Source organism: Homo sapiens, chromosome 4 (assembly GCF_000001405.40).
Source record: "Homo sapiens chromosome 4, GRCh38.p14 Primary Assembly".
NCBI classification, from domain to species: domain Eukaryota; kingdom Metazoa; phylum Chordata; class Mammalia; order Primates; family Hominidae; genus Homo; species Homo sapiens.
The window spans coordinates 798,403-815,051 of NC_000004.12; the positions used below are offsets into that span (position 1 = coordinate 798,403).

The window sequence follows — 16,649 nt, forward strand, 5'->3', positions numbered from 1 at the left end:
ATAGTCCTTACTTCTGTTTTCTTTTCTTAGACAGGGTCTTGCTCCGTTGCCCAGGCTGCAATGCAGAGGCTCAATCATAGCTCACTGCAGTCTCAACTTCCTGGGCTCAACTGATCCTCCCACCTCAGCCTCCCATGTGCCACCATGCCCAGCTAATTTTTTAAAAACATTTTTTGTAGAGACAAGGTCTCACTATGTTGCCCAGGTTGGTCTCGAACTCCTGGGCTCAAGTGATTTGCCTGCCTCAGCCTCCCGAAGTGCTGGGATTGCAGGCGTGAGCCACTGTGCCCGGCCAGATAGTGCTTTCAGAAGCGCACTGGCTCAATTCAATATCCATGTGCAAAATAAACACATATGTAAATGTTTTCCTTTACCTGACACTTTATATAAAAATGAACTCACAATCAATCATAGATCTAAATGTCAAAGCTGAAATTATACAACTTCTAGAAGAAAACAGAAGAGAAAATTTCTGGGACTTTGGCTTAAGCAAAGATTTCTTATATAAGTGACAAAAGCATAAATCTTAAAAAGAAAAATTGATAAACTGAATTTCATCAACATTAAACATTTTTGCTCTTCTGCGATATTATGAGATATATATATATGTTTTCATCTATGGCTCCTGCCTCTCACTCCCATGGCCCTTGTTATAATGTTGGGGCCCTTTAGAATCAGGAAACAGAACCCCTCTCTCTGACCTTCTGCCCTCTTTTCACCTGTGCAGGGCAGGACTCAAATCTTCCCCTGACTTCCTGTTGGTGAGTCATAAGCCCTCATTTCAGAAGGGGCCCTGCCCCGTGCCCTGGAGGAAGGAACGCTACAGAGAGAGGCCAAGAGGAATCTGGACAGGCCTTGCTGGGTTTAGATCACACCCTTTTCATCGGTCGCATTTCTACGGGGACGTCCATGCTTCTTCCACCATGCCTATCCGATGGAGTCTCCTCAAGAGGCGGGGTTCAGGAGCTTCCAGAGAGCTGGGCACATGGAGGCTGGAAGGAAGGCGAAGAACTCATCCACGTGCCAGGAGGGTAGCACCCCAGCTCCACGGGGTGGAAGCTCCTCAGAAGGGTGGCACCCCAACTCCACAGGGTGGAAGCTCCTATCCTTGGGACCCTTCAGGCCTGGCCATGTGTCTCTTCATCTGGCTATGTGTATCCTTGAAAATATCCTCTGTAGGCTGGGCATGGTGGCTCACACCTGTAATCCCAGCACTTTGGGAGGCCGAGATGGGCGGATCACCTGAGGTCTGGAGTTCGAGACCAGCCCAGTCAACATGGTGAAACCCCGTCTCTACTAAAAATACAAAAATTATCCAGGCATGGTGGCATGTGCCTGTAATCCCAGCTACTCAGTAGGCTGAGGCACAAGAATTGCTTGAACCCAGGAGGCAGAGGTTGCAGTGAGCCGAGATTGCACCATTGTACTTTAGCCTGAGCGACAGAGGCAGGCTCCGTCTCAAAAAATAAAAAATAAAAAGATCCTCTGTAATAAACCATAGGCATATGTTTCCCTGAATTCTGTGAGTTGCTCTAGGAATTAAACCCAAGAGGGGTCGCATGAACCCCAACTCGAAGCCGGTCGTTCAGACATTCTAGGGTCCTGGACTTGCGACTGGTGGGATGGAGGGGGCAGCCTTGTGGGACTGAGCCCTCAACGTGGGGTTTCTGAGGCTGTCTCCAGGTAGACAGCATCAGAATGGAATTGAATTGGAGAACACCCTGCTGTTGTCCACTGCCGGACTGACTGCTTGCTTGGTGGGTGGGGAAAACCTTCATACATTTGGTCACAGACATCTTCTGTGTTGATTATCCTTGTGGAGTGAGGGCAAAGGGAAAAACAGTTTGAGTTTTTCTTAACATCTTCAAAAGACACTGTCTTAAAAAATGAAAAGGTACACCACAGGCTGAGAGAATATATTTGCAAACCACACATCTGATAAAGATCTTAGGCCGGGCGCAGTGGCTCACGCCTGTAATCCCAGCACTTTGGGAGGCCAAGGCGGGCAGATGAATTGAGGTCAGGAGTTCGAGACCAGCCTGGGCAAAATGGGGAAATCCCATCTCTACTAAAAAATATATATATATATACACACACATATACACACACAGACACATATATGTGTATATACATACACACACATGTATGTATATATAAATATATGTGTGTGTGTGTGTATATATATGTATATATATATATATTAGCCAGACATGGTGACGGGCAACCGTAATCCCAGCACTTTGGGAGGCCAAGGCGGGCAGATGACTTGAGGTCAGGAGTTCGAGACCAGCCTGGGCAAAATGGGGAAACCCCGTCTCTACTAAAAAAAAAAATATATATATATATATATATACACACACATATACACACACAGACACATATATGTGTATATACATACACACACGTATGTATATATAAATATATGTGTGTGTGTGTGTATATATATGTATATATATATATATATATTAGCCAGACATGGTGACGGGCACCCGTAATCCCAGCTACTTGAGAGGCTGAGGCAGGAGAATTATTTGAACCCTGGAGGTGGAGGTTGCAGTGAGCCAAGATCGTGCCACTGCACTCTAGCCTGGGCGACAAGGCAAGACTCTGTCTCAAAAAAACAAAAGGTTGGCCGGACGCAGTGGCTCACACCTGTAATCCCAGCACTTTGGGAAGTCGAGGCGGGCAGATCACGAGGTCAGGAGATTGAGAATAGCCTGGCTAACATGGTGAAACCCCATCTCTACTAAAAAAAAAAAAAATGCAAAAATTAGGCAGGCGTGGTGGCACGTGCCTGCAGTCCCAGCTACTAGGGAGGCTGAGGCAGGAGAATTGCTTGAACCTGGGAGGTGGAGGTTGCAGTGAGCCGAGATCGGGCCACTGCACTCCAGTCTGGGTGACAGAGCGAGACTCTGTCTCAAAAGAAAAAAAAAAGTCTTATATTCAGAATACACAAAAAACTCTTACAACTCAATAACAGGAACACAAACAACCTGATTTTTAAAGTGGACAAAAGACATTTCACCAAAGAAGAGAAACAGATGGCAACTAAGTATAGTCATGGACCATGTAAAGCAACATGATGTCGCAGCCATTGTAAGGTGTACCACGTGGTACCTTTTCTATGTTTAGATGTGCTTAGGTACGCAAATACTCACCACTGTGTTACAACTTCCGTGCCATTCAGGCAGTCACGTGCTGTGCAGGGTTGTGCCCGGGAGCACCAGGCTACCCCCAACAGCCTGGGCGTGCAGGGTTGCTCCATCTGGGTGTGCAACAGTGCACTCTTTGATGTTCGCACAGCAACAAAGTCACCTAATGACACAGTCCTCAGAACTTGTCCCTTTCGTTACATGATGCATGACTGCACGAAAAGACACACGTGGCTGTTACAAATAAAGTTGATCGACGTGTCAGTCATAAGGGAATTCAAACTTAAATCACACAGAGATACCACCACATTCCTACTCAAATGTCTGAAATTAAAAAGACTGACTGTGCTAAGTGTTGGCAAGGAACACTGGTGGAGGAACTGGAACACTCATGCATACTTGTGGGAAGGTAAATGCTACAACCACTTTGCCAACAGTTGAGCATTTTCCTGTACAACTGAACATGCCACCAAATGACCCAGAAATTCCACTCCTAGGTGTTTACCCAAGAGAAACAAACACTTAAGTTCACACAATGGCAGGAACAGGAATGTTCATGGTAGTTTCATTTGTAACAGCCAAAACCAGAAAGCAACTCAAATGTCCATCAACAGGTGAATAGACAAACTGTGGTATGTCCACACAGGTAGCATCACTTAGCAACAGAGACAGATGAATTGCTGATACACCAAACAACACGGGAGAATCTCAAAGTCTTTATGCTGAGTGTAAAAGGCCAGATACAAATTATTTAATTTCATGTATGTACATTTGGGTGCAAACTAATCTACAGTGACAGAAAGAAAATGTAGATTGCCTGGGGCCAGGCAGACTTAACCACGGTGATGGTGAAACTCATTGGAGTGTACCCTTAAGAGGGCAATGGTTATTGAAAATAAATTGCACCACTATCAAATTGATCAGAAGCCCTAACAAATTAAAAGCTAGAGATATTACAGGCCATTTTCCCTGATCATAATCTAATCAAGTTACAAATACTAAAAACATGACCAAATCACTAAGTATGGAAGCCCAAATATTAGAAACAAGGACGTAAGTAACCCTTCAACTGAAGAGGAAATAAAAACTGAAAGTGTAAAAATTCCAGAAAGCAGCTGGGCGTGGTGGCTCACACCTGTAATCCCAGCACTTTGGGAGGCCAAGGTGGGAGGATCAAAAGGTCAGGAGTTTGAGACCAGCCTGGCCAACATCGTGAAACCCCATCTCTACTAAAAAAGATACAAAAATTAGCTGGGCTTGATGGCACATGTCTGTAATTCCAGCTACTCAGGAGGCTGAGGCAGGAGAATTGCTTGAACTCGGGAGGCAGATGTTGCGGTGAGCCGAGACTGCGCCACTGTACTCCAGCCTGAGCATTAGAGTGAGACTCTGTCTCAAAAAAAAAAAAAAAAAATTCCAGAAAGCATGAAAGATAAACACTAGGCGTCTGAACTTAGGGTCCAGGGCTAAAACTTTTTTTGGGAGGAAATTCATAGTCCTTCATTTTAAGGAAGAGCAGAAAGTATAGGAACTTCATTGCCATCTTAAGAAATTTAAAAGAAACAAAACAAAATAATCCCAAATAAGACAGGAAGAGATAATTAATGAAGAGAAAAGCAGAAAATGGACAATGGTAAACAGTAAATCTGCCTGCAGTAAGACCGAGGGCATGACACACAGCTGCCGCTGCGATTCTGCGCTGTTTCGAAGGGTCCAGTGAAGCGCATGAAAAGATAAGACACAGTCATGTGCCACATAAGGCCGTTTCAGTCAACAGCAGGCCGCATGTACGACAGTGCCCTGGAAGGCGACAGCACCGAATTCTCACGGTGCCTTTTCTTTCCTTTTTTTTTTGAGACGGAATCTCGCTCTGTCGCCCAGGCTGGTGTACAGTGGCGCCATCTCGGGTCACTGCAAGCTCCGCCTCCCAGGTTCACGCCATTCTCCCGCCTCAGCCTCTGGAGTAGCTGGGACTGCAGGCGTCCGCCACCGCGCCCGGCTAATTTTTTGTATTTTTTTTTTTTAGTAGAGACGGGGTTTCACCGTGGTCTCGATCTCCTGACCTCGTGATCTGCCCGCCTCGGCCTCTCAAAGCGCTGGGATTACAGGCGTGAGCCACCGCGCCCGGCCTTCTTTCTTTCTCTTGAGACCTGTTGTCCAGACTGGAGTGCAATGGCGTGATCTTGGCTCGCTGCAACCTCCACTCCTGGGTTCAAGCCATTCTTGTGCCTCAGCCTCTCAAGTAGCTGGGATTACAGGCGTGTGCCACCACGCCTGGCTAATTTTTGCATTTTTAGCAGAGATGGGGTTTCACCATGTTTGGCCAAGCTGTTCTCAAACTCCTGACCTCAAATGATCCACCCACCTTGGCATCCCAAAGTGCTGAGATTACAGGCGTGAGCCACCACGCCTGGCCTCACGGTGCCTTTTCTATGCTTAGGTGCACAGCCTCACCCTGGTGCTGCCGCTACTGCGGTGTTCAGTGAGATGTGTGTTGTGCAGGTTTGCAGCCGGGGAACAATGGTTGCACCACACGGCCTGGGCGTGCAGGAGGCTGCATCATCTAGGCTTGTGAAGGGAGATTCCATGACAGTCCCACAGCCACGAACGTATTCCCGTCAACACAGGATGGTAATAAGAGTTATAAAAGAAGACAGCCAATTATCTCTTTCTCCGTCTCTCCCACCTCTCTTCCTGATGACACGATCCTATCTCTGAGAAACTCAAGACAGTGCAGTAAAAACCTACCAGAACACATCATGGGATGTGGCAGCATGGCTAAATACAATATCCATACTTCCGAATTAATAGTTTTCCCCCACACTGTCAAGAACAAGCTAGAAACAGGAACAGGAATGACGTTCCACTTACAATAATGAGGAAAACACACAATAAGTACGAAAATATAACCTACTTAGAAATAAAAGGGAAGTCTATAGAACCTATATCAGAAAAAAATCATGGATTTAAATCGTACGGTTTTGGAAAGACATGCCAGATTCTTGGTGGGCAGGCTTAATATCATAATGACGTCAGCCGCATCAACAATAATGTGCAATTGTATGTAATCCGGATCGCACCTTCAGCTTAAACTCCAACGCTTTTGTTCTTTTTGGGGCTTTGGATAAAATTAAGGTTCATATGGCAGAATTGATGTCAGAGGAGACTCAACCCAAGTGTCACAAAGAAGTGAAAACGCACCTTGCGGGGGCTCGGGAAGTGCCTGCAGAGTCCCAGAGACGGCTCTGGCGGTCGTCAGCCTGGAGGCCGGCAAGCGTGGGGAGCGACGTGCTCAGCCTCCACGGGAAAGGTGGGCGGCGGCAGCCATTTTGGAACGCAGGCGGCAGCCATTTTGGAACGCAGTGCGTCGCCGCGAGCACGTGCGGAGTTCACCCGGCGTCCCACTCCTGCGCGGCGGCCGGCTAGGGCGGGTGCTCCTCTGTGGAGAAACGTGCCCACGCACGCTCGCGCACCGTCTGTCTCGGCAGCGGCCCTGGCGTGTGGCTGGAGACAAGGTGATATCTTGGGCGTGTGGCCATACGCCCATCGCACATCCACACAGGGAAGCCCGGGGCCTGGAGCGGGAGGGAGGGGCTGCTGTGGGCGCTGCAGCCGGAGAGCCACAGGCAGACAAACGCGCCGCAGAGCCCATGTTTGGAAGGCAAAAAGGAAAAACAATCATGTATGAATATACCCCTGTTGTTAGGATTATCTAAAGATAGAAGGAGGATCGGAGGGTTACACACGAGGTTCACACCGAACCCAAACCCTGAAAAACCTAACAGGTGTTCCTTTGAAGCTCTCATGGAATGCTTACAAGGGCCAGGTGTCAGTCTGCACCACAATGAGATACCGGCTCACACCCACTCAGACGGCTGTTATCAAAAACCAGGAAATCACAAGTGTTGGCAACAATGTGAAGAAACTGGAACCCTGTGCCTTGTTGTTGGGAATGAGAAACAGCACAGCTGCTGTGGAAACAGTCTGGCTGTTCCTCAAAAAATTAAACATAGAATTGCCATATGATCTAGCGATTCCATTTCTGGGTATAGACCCACAAGAACTGAAAGCAGAGTCTCTCACAGATACCTCCATACCCCTGTTCATAGCAGCATTAACCACAATAACCAAGAGGGAGAAACAACCCAGGGTGTCCATCAGCAGATGAATGGACAAGCACAATGTGGTGTAGACAGAATGGAATATTATGCAGCCTTAAAAAGGAATTAAGTTCCAACACAAACTGCAACATGGATGAACCTTGAGGACACTATGCTAAATGAAATAAGCCAGACACAAAAAGACAAATACTGTAAGATTCCACTTAGATGAGGTCCCTAGAGTAGCCAAATTCATTGAGACAGGAAGTAAAGTGGTGGGTGCGAGGGGCTGGGGGAAGGAGAGTGGGGAGTGAGTGTTTAGTGTAGACAGAGTTTCAGTTGGAAATGATGAAAAGTTCTGGAAATAGAGGTGTTAGTTGCACAACATTGTGATGTACTTAATGCCACTGAATTGTGCACTTAACATAATTTAAATGGTAAATTTTATGCTATATATTTTACCACAAAAAAGAGAAGCATATACCTGACTTCAAACTATACTACAAGACTACAGTAACCAAAACAGCATGGTACAGGTACAAAAACAGACACGTAGACCAATGGAACAGAATAGAGAACTCAGAAATAAGCCTGCACACCTACAATCATCTGATTTTCAACAAACCTGACAAAAACAATGAGGAAAGGATTCCCTATTTAATAAATGGTGCTGGGAGAACTGGCTAGCCATCTGAAGAAAATGGAAACTGGACCCCTTCCTTACACCTTATATAAAAATTAACTCAAGGTGAATTAAAGATTTAAATGTAAAACCCAAAAGTATAAAAACCCTAGAAGAAAATCTAGGCAATACCATTCAGGACATAGGCAAGGTTGAGAATTTCATGATGAAAACATCAAAAGCAATTGTAATAAAGCAAAAATTGACAAGTGGGAGCTAATTAAAGAGCTTCTGCATAGCAAAAGAAACTATCATCAGAGTGAGCAGACAACCTACAGAATTGGAGAAACATTTCTCAATCTATCCATCTGACAAAGGTCTAATGTCCAGAATCTACAAGGAACCCAAACGAAAGACATTTATGCAGCCAACAAACCTGTGAAAAAAAGCTCAACATCACTGATCACTAGAGAAATGCAAATCAAAACTACAATGAGATACCATCTCATACCAGTCAGTATGGTGATTAAGATTAAAAAGTCAAGAAACAACAGATGCTGGGAAGGTTGCAGAGAAATAGGAACACTTTTATACTGTTGATGGGAGTGTAAATTAGTTCAACCACCGTGGAAGACTGTGGCGATTCCTCAGAGACCTAGAACCAGAAATACCATTTGACTCAGCAATCCCATTACTGGGTATATACCCAAAGGAATATAAATCATTCTATTTTAAGATATATGTACGTGTATGTTCATTGCAGCATTATTCACAATAGCAAAGATAGGGAATCAACCCAAATGCCCATCGATGATAGACTGGATAAAGAAAATGTGGTACATATACAACATGGAATACTACACAGCCATAAAAAAGAATGAGATCATGTCCTTTGCAGGGATAGGAATGGGGCTGGAAGCCATTATCTTCAGCAAACTAACACAGGAACAGAAAACCAAACACCGCATGTTCTCACTCGTAAGTGGGAGTTGAACATTGAGAACACATGGACACAGGGAGGGGAAAAACACACACTGGGGCCTATGGAGCAGGGGAAGAGAGAGCATCAAGAAAAATAGCTAATGCATGCTGGGCTTAATACCTAGGTGATAGGCTGGCAGGTGCAGCAAACCATCATGGTACACGTTTACTACCTATGTAACAAACCTACACATCCTGCACATGTATCCCGGAACTTAATTTTTTTTTTTTTTGAGATGGAGTTTCATTCTTTGTTGCCCTGGCTGGAGTGCAGTGGCACAATCTCGGCTCACTGCAACCTCTGCCTCCTGGGTTCAAGAGATTCTCCTGCCTCAGCCTCCCAAGTAGCTGAGATTACGGGCAGGTGCCACCATGCCCGGCCAATTTTTTTTTATTATTATTTTTAGTAGAGATGGGGTTTTCACCATGTTGGTCAGGCTGGTCTCAAACTCCTGACCTCAGGTGATCCGCCGTCCTCGGCCTCCCAAAGTACTGAAATTACAGGCGTGAGCCACCTTGCCTGGCCTTAAATTTTTTTTAAAACAGAGAAGCATAAATTTTAAATGATTTATAATCTCACCTGTCAAAAAAATGTTAGGCCACCTCTGTTGACATTTGTCTTTCTTGATATATTAATCTCAATATGTTTTCCAGAGCAGAAATAAGGCTGCATGCTTTGGCTCAGAGTCATGGCACAGGTGCAGCACAACCAGGAATAAAAAATCCTTGGCTGGGTGCGGCGGTCACACCTGTCATCCCAGCACTTGGGAGGGTGAGGTGGCTGGATCGCTTGAGCCCAGGAGCTCAAGATCAGTCTGGGTAACATGGCAAAACCCTGTCTCCACAAAAAAATTATGAAAAATTCGCCAGGCATAGTGGCACACACCTGTTGTCTCAGCTACCTGGGAGGCTGAGGCGAGAGAATTTCTTGAGTCTGGGAGGTGGAGGTTGCAGTGAGCTGAGACCCTGGCTCAATAAATACATAAATAAATAAATAAATAAAAATAAATAAAAATCCTCCTCCTGGGCCCTTGTAAATGTAACATCTCTCTAACAACAAACGAGTTGGAAAATATTAAAACCACGGTTACCACATCTCCAGGAACTGGATGTATCGAGGCCTCAATCCAGCGGCATGTCAGGGGTGGCCCATGCTGTTCATTCCCTGAAACGCTCACGCTCCCGGCAAGCCCAGGCATACACAGCAAAAAACACCTCACTCCAATTGCCACAGAAAAAGCAACCAAACAAACCAAGGCAGGCAGAGGAAAGGAGTTTGCAAAGCTAACGGCAAAACGAATCCGTCCAGAAAGACAAATGTCAAAAGAGTCAGCGGTTCAGGAGGTGGGTCTTGAACCTCCCATAAAACAGGCATCAGGCAGCTGCTCAGAGTGAGAAGACAGAAAGAAGCCTGGGACACACAAAACGAGGGGAAACGATTGAGAACTAGCCACACCCAGACAGGAAATAAGATGGTCAAATAATATTTTACACACACTTTCCTAATACACTTAAAAACTTGAATGAAATGGATTGTCTTTAAAACCCGTTGTAAAAAATCTGAGAACGATGTCTAAGAATTCACAGATGGATTCTTTCAAACATTCAAGAAACAGATAATTCCAATGATATTTAGAATGTTCTTGGAACGGAGAAAAAGAAGGAAATCCTCTGGGTTATTTTTGTGAAATTAACATAAGAGCAATGCCAAAAATTGGTGGAGAGATAGCGATAGAGATAGAGAGCGCGCGAGTGCGCGGGCGGCAGGCCGGGCTCCAGCGAGAATGTCAGTGCTGAACGCTGGGCCAGAGCGGGAGGAGAGTCTGGCGTTCCATGGGAAACACAGTGAGTACTCAGTGGGGCTCATTTTAGCAAAGTGAGGATGGTTCAATATTCAAACACGATTATGCTCCTCACGCTGTGAACCGTATCTTGCGGTTGCTATTCTCAGGGCTGGCGGGTGGCTCTCGCCACCCCACGTCCTCGCCTATAGACAGTGGAACGGTGATGACTCCCCAAGGCCCCTTCAGCCTTGGGTAGGGCAGGAGTGCACGGGGTGGGGCCCGGCCAAAGCTTCTCATTCTCCCCCAGAAAGGGGCCCTATGGCTGCCAAGCCTCTGCCCTGTCTCACGCCCTTACTGAAACGGGCCCTGTGGCTGCTGAGCCTCTGCCCTGCCTCGTGCCCTCAAGGAAACGGGCCCTGTGGCTGCTGAGCCTCTGCCCTGCCTGCTGCCCTCACTCAGCCTTGAACACGGACACATGGCCTGAGGGGGTGGGGGGGACCTCAGGCCGTGGGGGCCACATGTGTGACCACTTCATGACCATCACAAAGGTAGGCGTCCTCCGTAACTCTCAGAACCCAACTTTTAAACAGCTTTATGGAGGTAACTGACATACCCTAAGTCTGTTTTGACGCATGTATATGTGTATGAAGCCATCACCACAATCAAGACAGTGGACACGTCCAGCCCTCGGGTTTCATGGTGGCCTGTGTGGCCCCTCCCACCCACCACTCCAGCCACTGACCTACTTCCTGTCACTATGGATTATGGGCTTTCTCTAGAACTTTATATAAAGGGGCACACACAATACGTGGTATCTGCAGCAGGCGGGGGGACTGGCCCGGTTACTGAGTTCGCTGCTTTCTGGGACACCCCATCACACCAGCAGCTCACCCCTCTCCATGCTGAGCAGGACCCCACGGTGTGGATGCACACGGCTCCTTCACCCGCCCACCTGTGTGTGAACCGTGGGTTGTTCCTGCACACGTCTGTGTGGATCTGCACTTTCTTTTTTTTTTTTTTTTTTTTGAGATGGAGTCTCGCTTCGTTGCCCAGGCTGGAGTGCAGTGGCATGATCTCAGCTCACTGCAAGCTCCGCCTCCTGGGCTCACACCATTCTCCTGCCTCAGCCTCCCAAGTAGCTGGGATTACAGGCGCCTGCAACCACGCCCGGCTAATTTTTTGTATTTTTAGTAGAGACGGGGTTTCACCATGTTAGCCAGGATGGTCTCGATCTCCTGACCTCGTGATCCACCCGCCTCGGCCTCCCAAAGTGCTGGGATTACAGGCGTGAGCCACCACGCCCGGCCTTGGGTCTGCGCTTTCATTTCTCTTGGGTCAACGTCTAGGAGCAGAATTGCTCAGCTGTGTATTAAATTTCTATTTTGCTTTTTAAGAAACAGCCAAGCTGTTTTCCAGTGCGGTTGTGCCATTTTAAGCTCCCACTGGAGAGCATGAGGGCGTGGGTTTCTCCACATGCGTGAGTGGCTCTGTTGACTCTGGTCACCCTAGTGGGTGTGGCAGCATCTCGCTGTGGTGTGTCCCCGTGACCAGCACTGCCGAACATCTTCATATATCCTTAATAATCATTCCTTTAATTCCCGTATCTTCTTTGGGGGAATATCTATTCAAATCTTTTGCACATTTTCTTTTTTCTTTTTCTTTTTTTTTTTTCGAGATGGAATTTCACTCTTGTTGCCCAGGCTGGAGTGCAATGGCGTGGTCTTGGCTCACTGCAACCTCCACCTCCTGGGTTCAAGTGATTCTTCTGCCCCAGCCTCCCGAGTAGCTGGGATTACAGGTGCCCGCCACCACACCTGGCTAATTTTTGTATTCTTAGTAGAGGCAGGTTTTCACCATGTTGGCCAGGATGGTCTCGAACTCCTGAGCTCAGGTGATCCGCCCGCCTCAGCCTCCCAAAGTGCTGGGATTACAGGTGTAAGCCACCACGCCCAGCCTCTAATTTCCCTTTTTTATAAGAGGTGGGACCTTGCTCTGTCACCCAGGCTGGAATGCAGTGGTGAGATCATGGCTCACTGCAGCCTTGAACTCTTGGGCTTAAGTGATCCTCCCACCTCTGCCTCCCAAGTAGTTCAGACAACAAGGGCACACTGCCATGCCCAGCTAATTTTTAAATTTTTTATAGAGATGGGATCTCCCTACATTGCCCAGGTTGTCCAGGCTGGCCTCAAACTGCTGAGCTCAAGTGATCTTCCCACCTTGGCCTCCAATCAGCTAGTGCTACAGGTGCATACCACTGTGCCCAGCCAATTTTTTTTTTATTTTTCATAGAGATGGGATCTTGCTCTGTTGCCCAAGCTGGCCTGGAACTCCTGGCCTCAGGCAATCCTTCCTCCTTAGCCTCGCAAAGTGTTGGGATTACAGACATGAGCCACTGCACCCAGCCTCTAATTTCCACTTTGATTTCTTCCTTGGCTCGTGGGCTATTTAGAAGTGTGTTGTTTAGTTTCCAACTATTTGGGAGATTTTCTAGATACCTTTCTGTCTTTATTTCTCATTGCATTTCATTGTAGTTGGAGAATATATTTGCATGACTTGAACCCTTTCACGTGCACTGAGACTTGTTTCAGGGCCTCGAATATGGTGTGTCTTGGCAAATGCTCCATGTGTGCCTGAAAAGAAGAAGGACTACTCTGCTGTTGCTGCTCAGAGCGTCTGTGAACATCAAGCAGGTCAGCCTGGCTGGCTGTGCTGCTCAAGTCCTGTCTGTCCTTCCTGCTTCTCTGTCCTTTGAGTTGAGTATCTCCAGCTCAAACAGTGGGTTTGTATGTTTCTCCTGTGACCTCCTTCTGTCTTTGCTGACGTATGTTGGAACTCAGCTGTCGGGTGTAGAAGCAGTTGAGACCATGATGTCCTCTTGATTAGCTGACCTCTTAATCACCAGGAAATGACTTCCTTCATCCCTGGCAATATTTCTTGCACTGAAATCTCCTTGGTCTTATATTAATATAGCCACTCAAGTTTTCTTCTTATTTTTTCCCTATCTTTTCACTTTTACCTGACTAGAGTCTTTATATATTTATTTATTTATTTGAGACAGAGTCTTGCTCTGTCACCCAGGTTGGAGTGCAGTGGTGCGATCTCAGCTCACTGCAACCTCTGCCTCCTGGGTTCACATGATTCTCCTGCCTCAGCCTCCCGAGTAGCTGGGACTACAGGCGCCCGCCACCACGCCCCGCTAAATTTTTGTATTTTTAGTAGAGACAGGGGTATCACCATGTTGTCCAGGATGGTCTTGATCTCCTCACCTCAGGTGATTCAGTTGCCTCAGCCTCCCAAAGTGCTGGGATTACAGGCAGGAGCCACCGCACCCAGCAGAGTCTTTTTATATTTAAAGTGGGTTTCTTGTATGTAGCACAGAACTGGATCTTGATTTTTTATCCAATCTGACAATTCTGCTTTTTAATGAGAGTGTTCCCAACAGACAGAGAAGAAAAAGTCATAAATCAAAGGGCGTCCATCAGAGTAATAAAAAGGGTATGGGCTTGAGTGTGGGGAAATTATCTTCAGACAGAATACCGCTCGAATCCCACCTAGCAAAGTTCCAAAATAAGAGAGGAAAGGACCAAACTCTTTCTAAGTGACTTGACCATATCAAGAGCAAAACTCAAGAATATACTTAGGGGCCAGGCACGGTGGCTCACGCCTGTAATCCCAGCACGTTCCTAATGCTGGGCATCCTAACGCTGCGTGTCCTAACGCTGGGTGTCCTAACACTGAGCATCCTAATGCTAACGCCCGGTGTCCTAACGCTGCCTGCTCTAATGCTGGCTATCCTAATGTCCTAACGCTGGCCGTCCTAATGCCAGGCACCCTTACAAATGATAGTGTACTGAGTTTTGTTTAAACATGATGGATTGAACATATATGCTTATTGACGTGCCTTTCCACAACCCCACTAAGATGGGAGTAAAGAAACTGAACAGGCTGGGAGCGGTGGCTCACACCTGTAATCCCAGGACTTTGGGAGGCCGAGGCAGGCAGATCATGAGGTTAAGAGATCAAGACCAGCCTGGCCAACATGGTGAAACCCCGTCTCTACTAAAAATGCAAAAATTAGCTGGGTGTGGTGGCAGATGCCTGTAGTCCCAGCTACTTGGGAGGGTGAGGCAGGAGAATTGCTTGAACCTGGGAGCCGGAGGTTGCAGTGAGCCAAGATTGTACCACTGCACTCCTGCCTGGGTGGCTGAGCTAGACTCTGTCTCAAAAAAAAAAAAAAAAAAAGAGAAAGTGAATAGTATAATTTCACAAGAATAACACAACAAGAGAGGAGAGGCCAGGTAAATCGGTATCAGATTGGGGACGATGGAAAGCAGGTGCACGGATGGGCTCTGCAGAGGGAGATGCTGCTGAGAAGCTGACCAGCCGGGCAGAACCCCAGGAAGACTCTGGGACTGGAGGCCCTGCTGTCAGGCGAGTGGGGCAGACATGAGGGATGGTGAAAGGTCTGTATAAAGGGCACTGGGCCCACCACCCACGTGGCAATGAGATATCAAGAAATCATTTCCTTGGAGAAACTGAACCAGAGACCCCCAGACTCAGACCAATCCTCAGGCACCAATCCTAAAGGGCAGAAGTGATTCCTTGAAAACAGAGAGTTCATGGAATATCTGCACCCTACAGAGCCCTCACTCAAGCCCAGTCCACTGCCCTGCTCATAGATCCACCATCCAGCCACACAGAATCCATTTCTGGGGAGATGGAGCCACACTCCCCAAAAGACCTAAAGGGCCTGACCTGTGCGGATTCCCAAGCATAAAAGCCAGCTCGCCACGTTTGCCCTACAGGTAAGCCCAGAATTCCCACACACACACAGAAGACTTCCAACAGCTTTTCCTGACTCGCTGAAACATAAATGTGCATCCAGGGAAAGTCTCTGACACAAAGAAAGCTGCAAGCTAAATGGACGGAAAAGGAGCTTGTAACAAAATGACACAGCAAAGACCACTGCCTGGGCATCGGAGGCAGAGCCACACCTGGGCGACCCAAGCCGGCGGCCAGACATGTGAACTCAGAGGCCTCTCTCCCGTCCAGCAGGTGGAACCCCTGCTTTTCCCACCACTTGCTCTGAAAGGACCATACAGGTATCTGCCTGCAAATACAAGGGACCCACACTCCACTTCCTCTTATAATCATGCTAGCTGTCCCCACTCTGCCTGATTTTTTTTTTTTAAGACGGAGTCTCGCTCTGTTGCCAGGCTGGAGTGCAGTAGCGCAATCTCAGCTCACTGCAACCTCTGCCTCCTGGGTTCAAGTGATTCTCCTGCCTCACCCTCCTGAGCAGCTTGGACTACAGGTGCCTGCCACCACGCCCAGCTAATTTTTGTATTTTTAGTGGAGACCGGGTTTCACCATGTTGGCCAGGCTGATCTTGAACTCCTGACCTCAGGTGATTCACCTGCCTTGGCCTCCCACAGTGTTGGGATTTCAGGCATGAGCCACCACGCCCGGCCCTCTCCCTGACTCTTCATTCCTGCCTCATGCGACCCGGAGATGGAGGATGGCCCCCGCGACTCACAGCATCCTCTCTGCCAGGATCTGTAGCAAAAATCTTCGAACTTGTTTCCTATTGCAGTGGTGGATTAAATCTGTGCCTTAAATCTGAAGAACCAGGGGCTACCCCAGGCCAGGTTTTCCCCAGGAGTCCGGGAGGAACACAAGGTTGGAGTCCCTGTGCCAGAGTGATGGCCAGGCAGGCAGAGCCTGTACATGGAGCAGACACAAACCACCGGGCATCTGCCAGTATGAACAAGTGTCGTGTGTGAGGGGCCCCGGCCATGGGTCGGGTAACTAGCGTTCAAGCCGTCCACCAGGTGAAAGAAGGATTCCATGAAAGGCACCAGGTCTAGCCCCATTCATTTCCCATTAGGGCAAGACTGCCAGCTCTCACACACTGGAACCCCAGTTTATCTGGGGGCTCCCAAAACAGAGCTCAGAGACAACACAGAGAACAGAGGAAAACTTGTAAAGAGAACGAACATTTAGAAAACAG

General features: G+C 47.5%; 1 protein-coding gene across 2 annotated transcripts in view, besides 2 other annotated features; it reads right to left on the bottom strand.

Moving 5' to 3' along the window:
• CPLX1 (complexin 1) overlaps nucleotides 1-16,649 on the bottom strand; it is a 41,173-nt gene that overhangs the window by 13,446 nt on the left and 11,078 nt on the right. The window contains exon 1 of one of the 2 annotated variants that reach the window (XM_011513391.2): nucleotides 6,354-6,507. The exons of the other annotated variant lie outside the window; for it this stretch is intronic. The gene's annotated coding sequence lies outside the window, so the exon portion shown is untranslated. Of the gene's footprint in view, nucleotides 1-6,353; nucleotides 6,508-16,649 lie in introns of those variants that run through there. 2 annotated transcript variants of the gene reach the window in all.
• Nucleotides 834-1,033: an enhancer, noted in NCBI's record as "active region_21137". NCBI's record gives its function as "activates an Ori minimal core promoter by ATAC-STARR-seq in GM12878 lymphoblastoid cells {active_cell/tissue: GM12878}" and the evidence as "EXISTENCE:reporter gene assay evidence [ECO:0000049][PMID:35858748]".
• Nucleotides 1,069-1,568: an enhancer, noted in NCBI's record as "H3K4me1 hESC enhancer chr4:793259-793758 (GRCh37/hg19 assembly coordinates)". NCBI's record gives its function as "activates a minimal SCP1, AML or CMV promoter by ChIP-STARR-seq in naive H9 embryonic stem cells {active_cell/tissue: H9 hESC(naive)}" and the evidence as "EXISTENCE:reporter gene assay evidence [ECO:0000049][PMID:30033119]".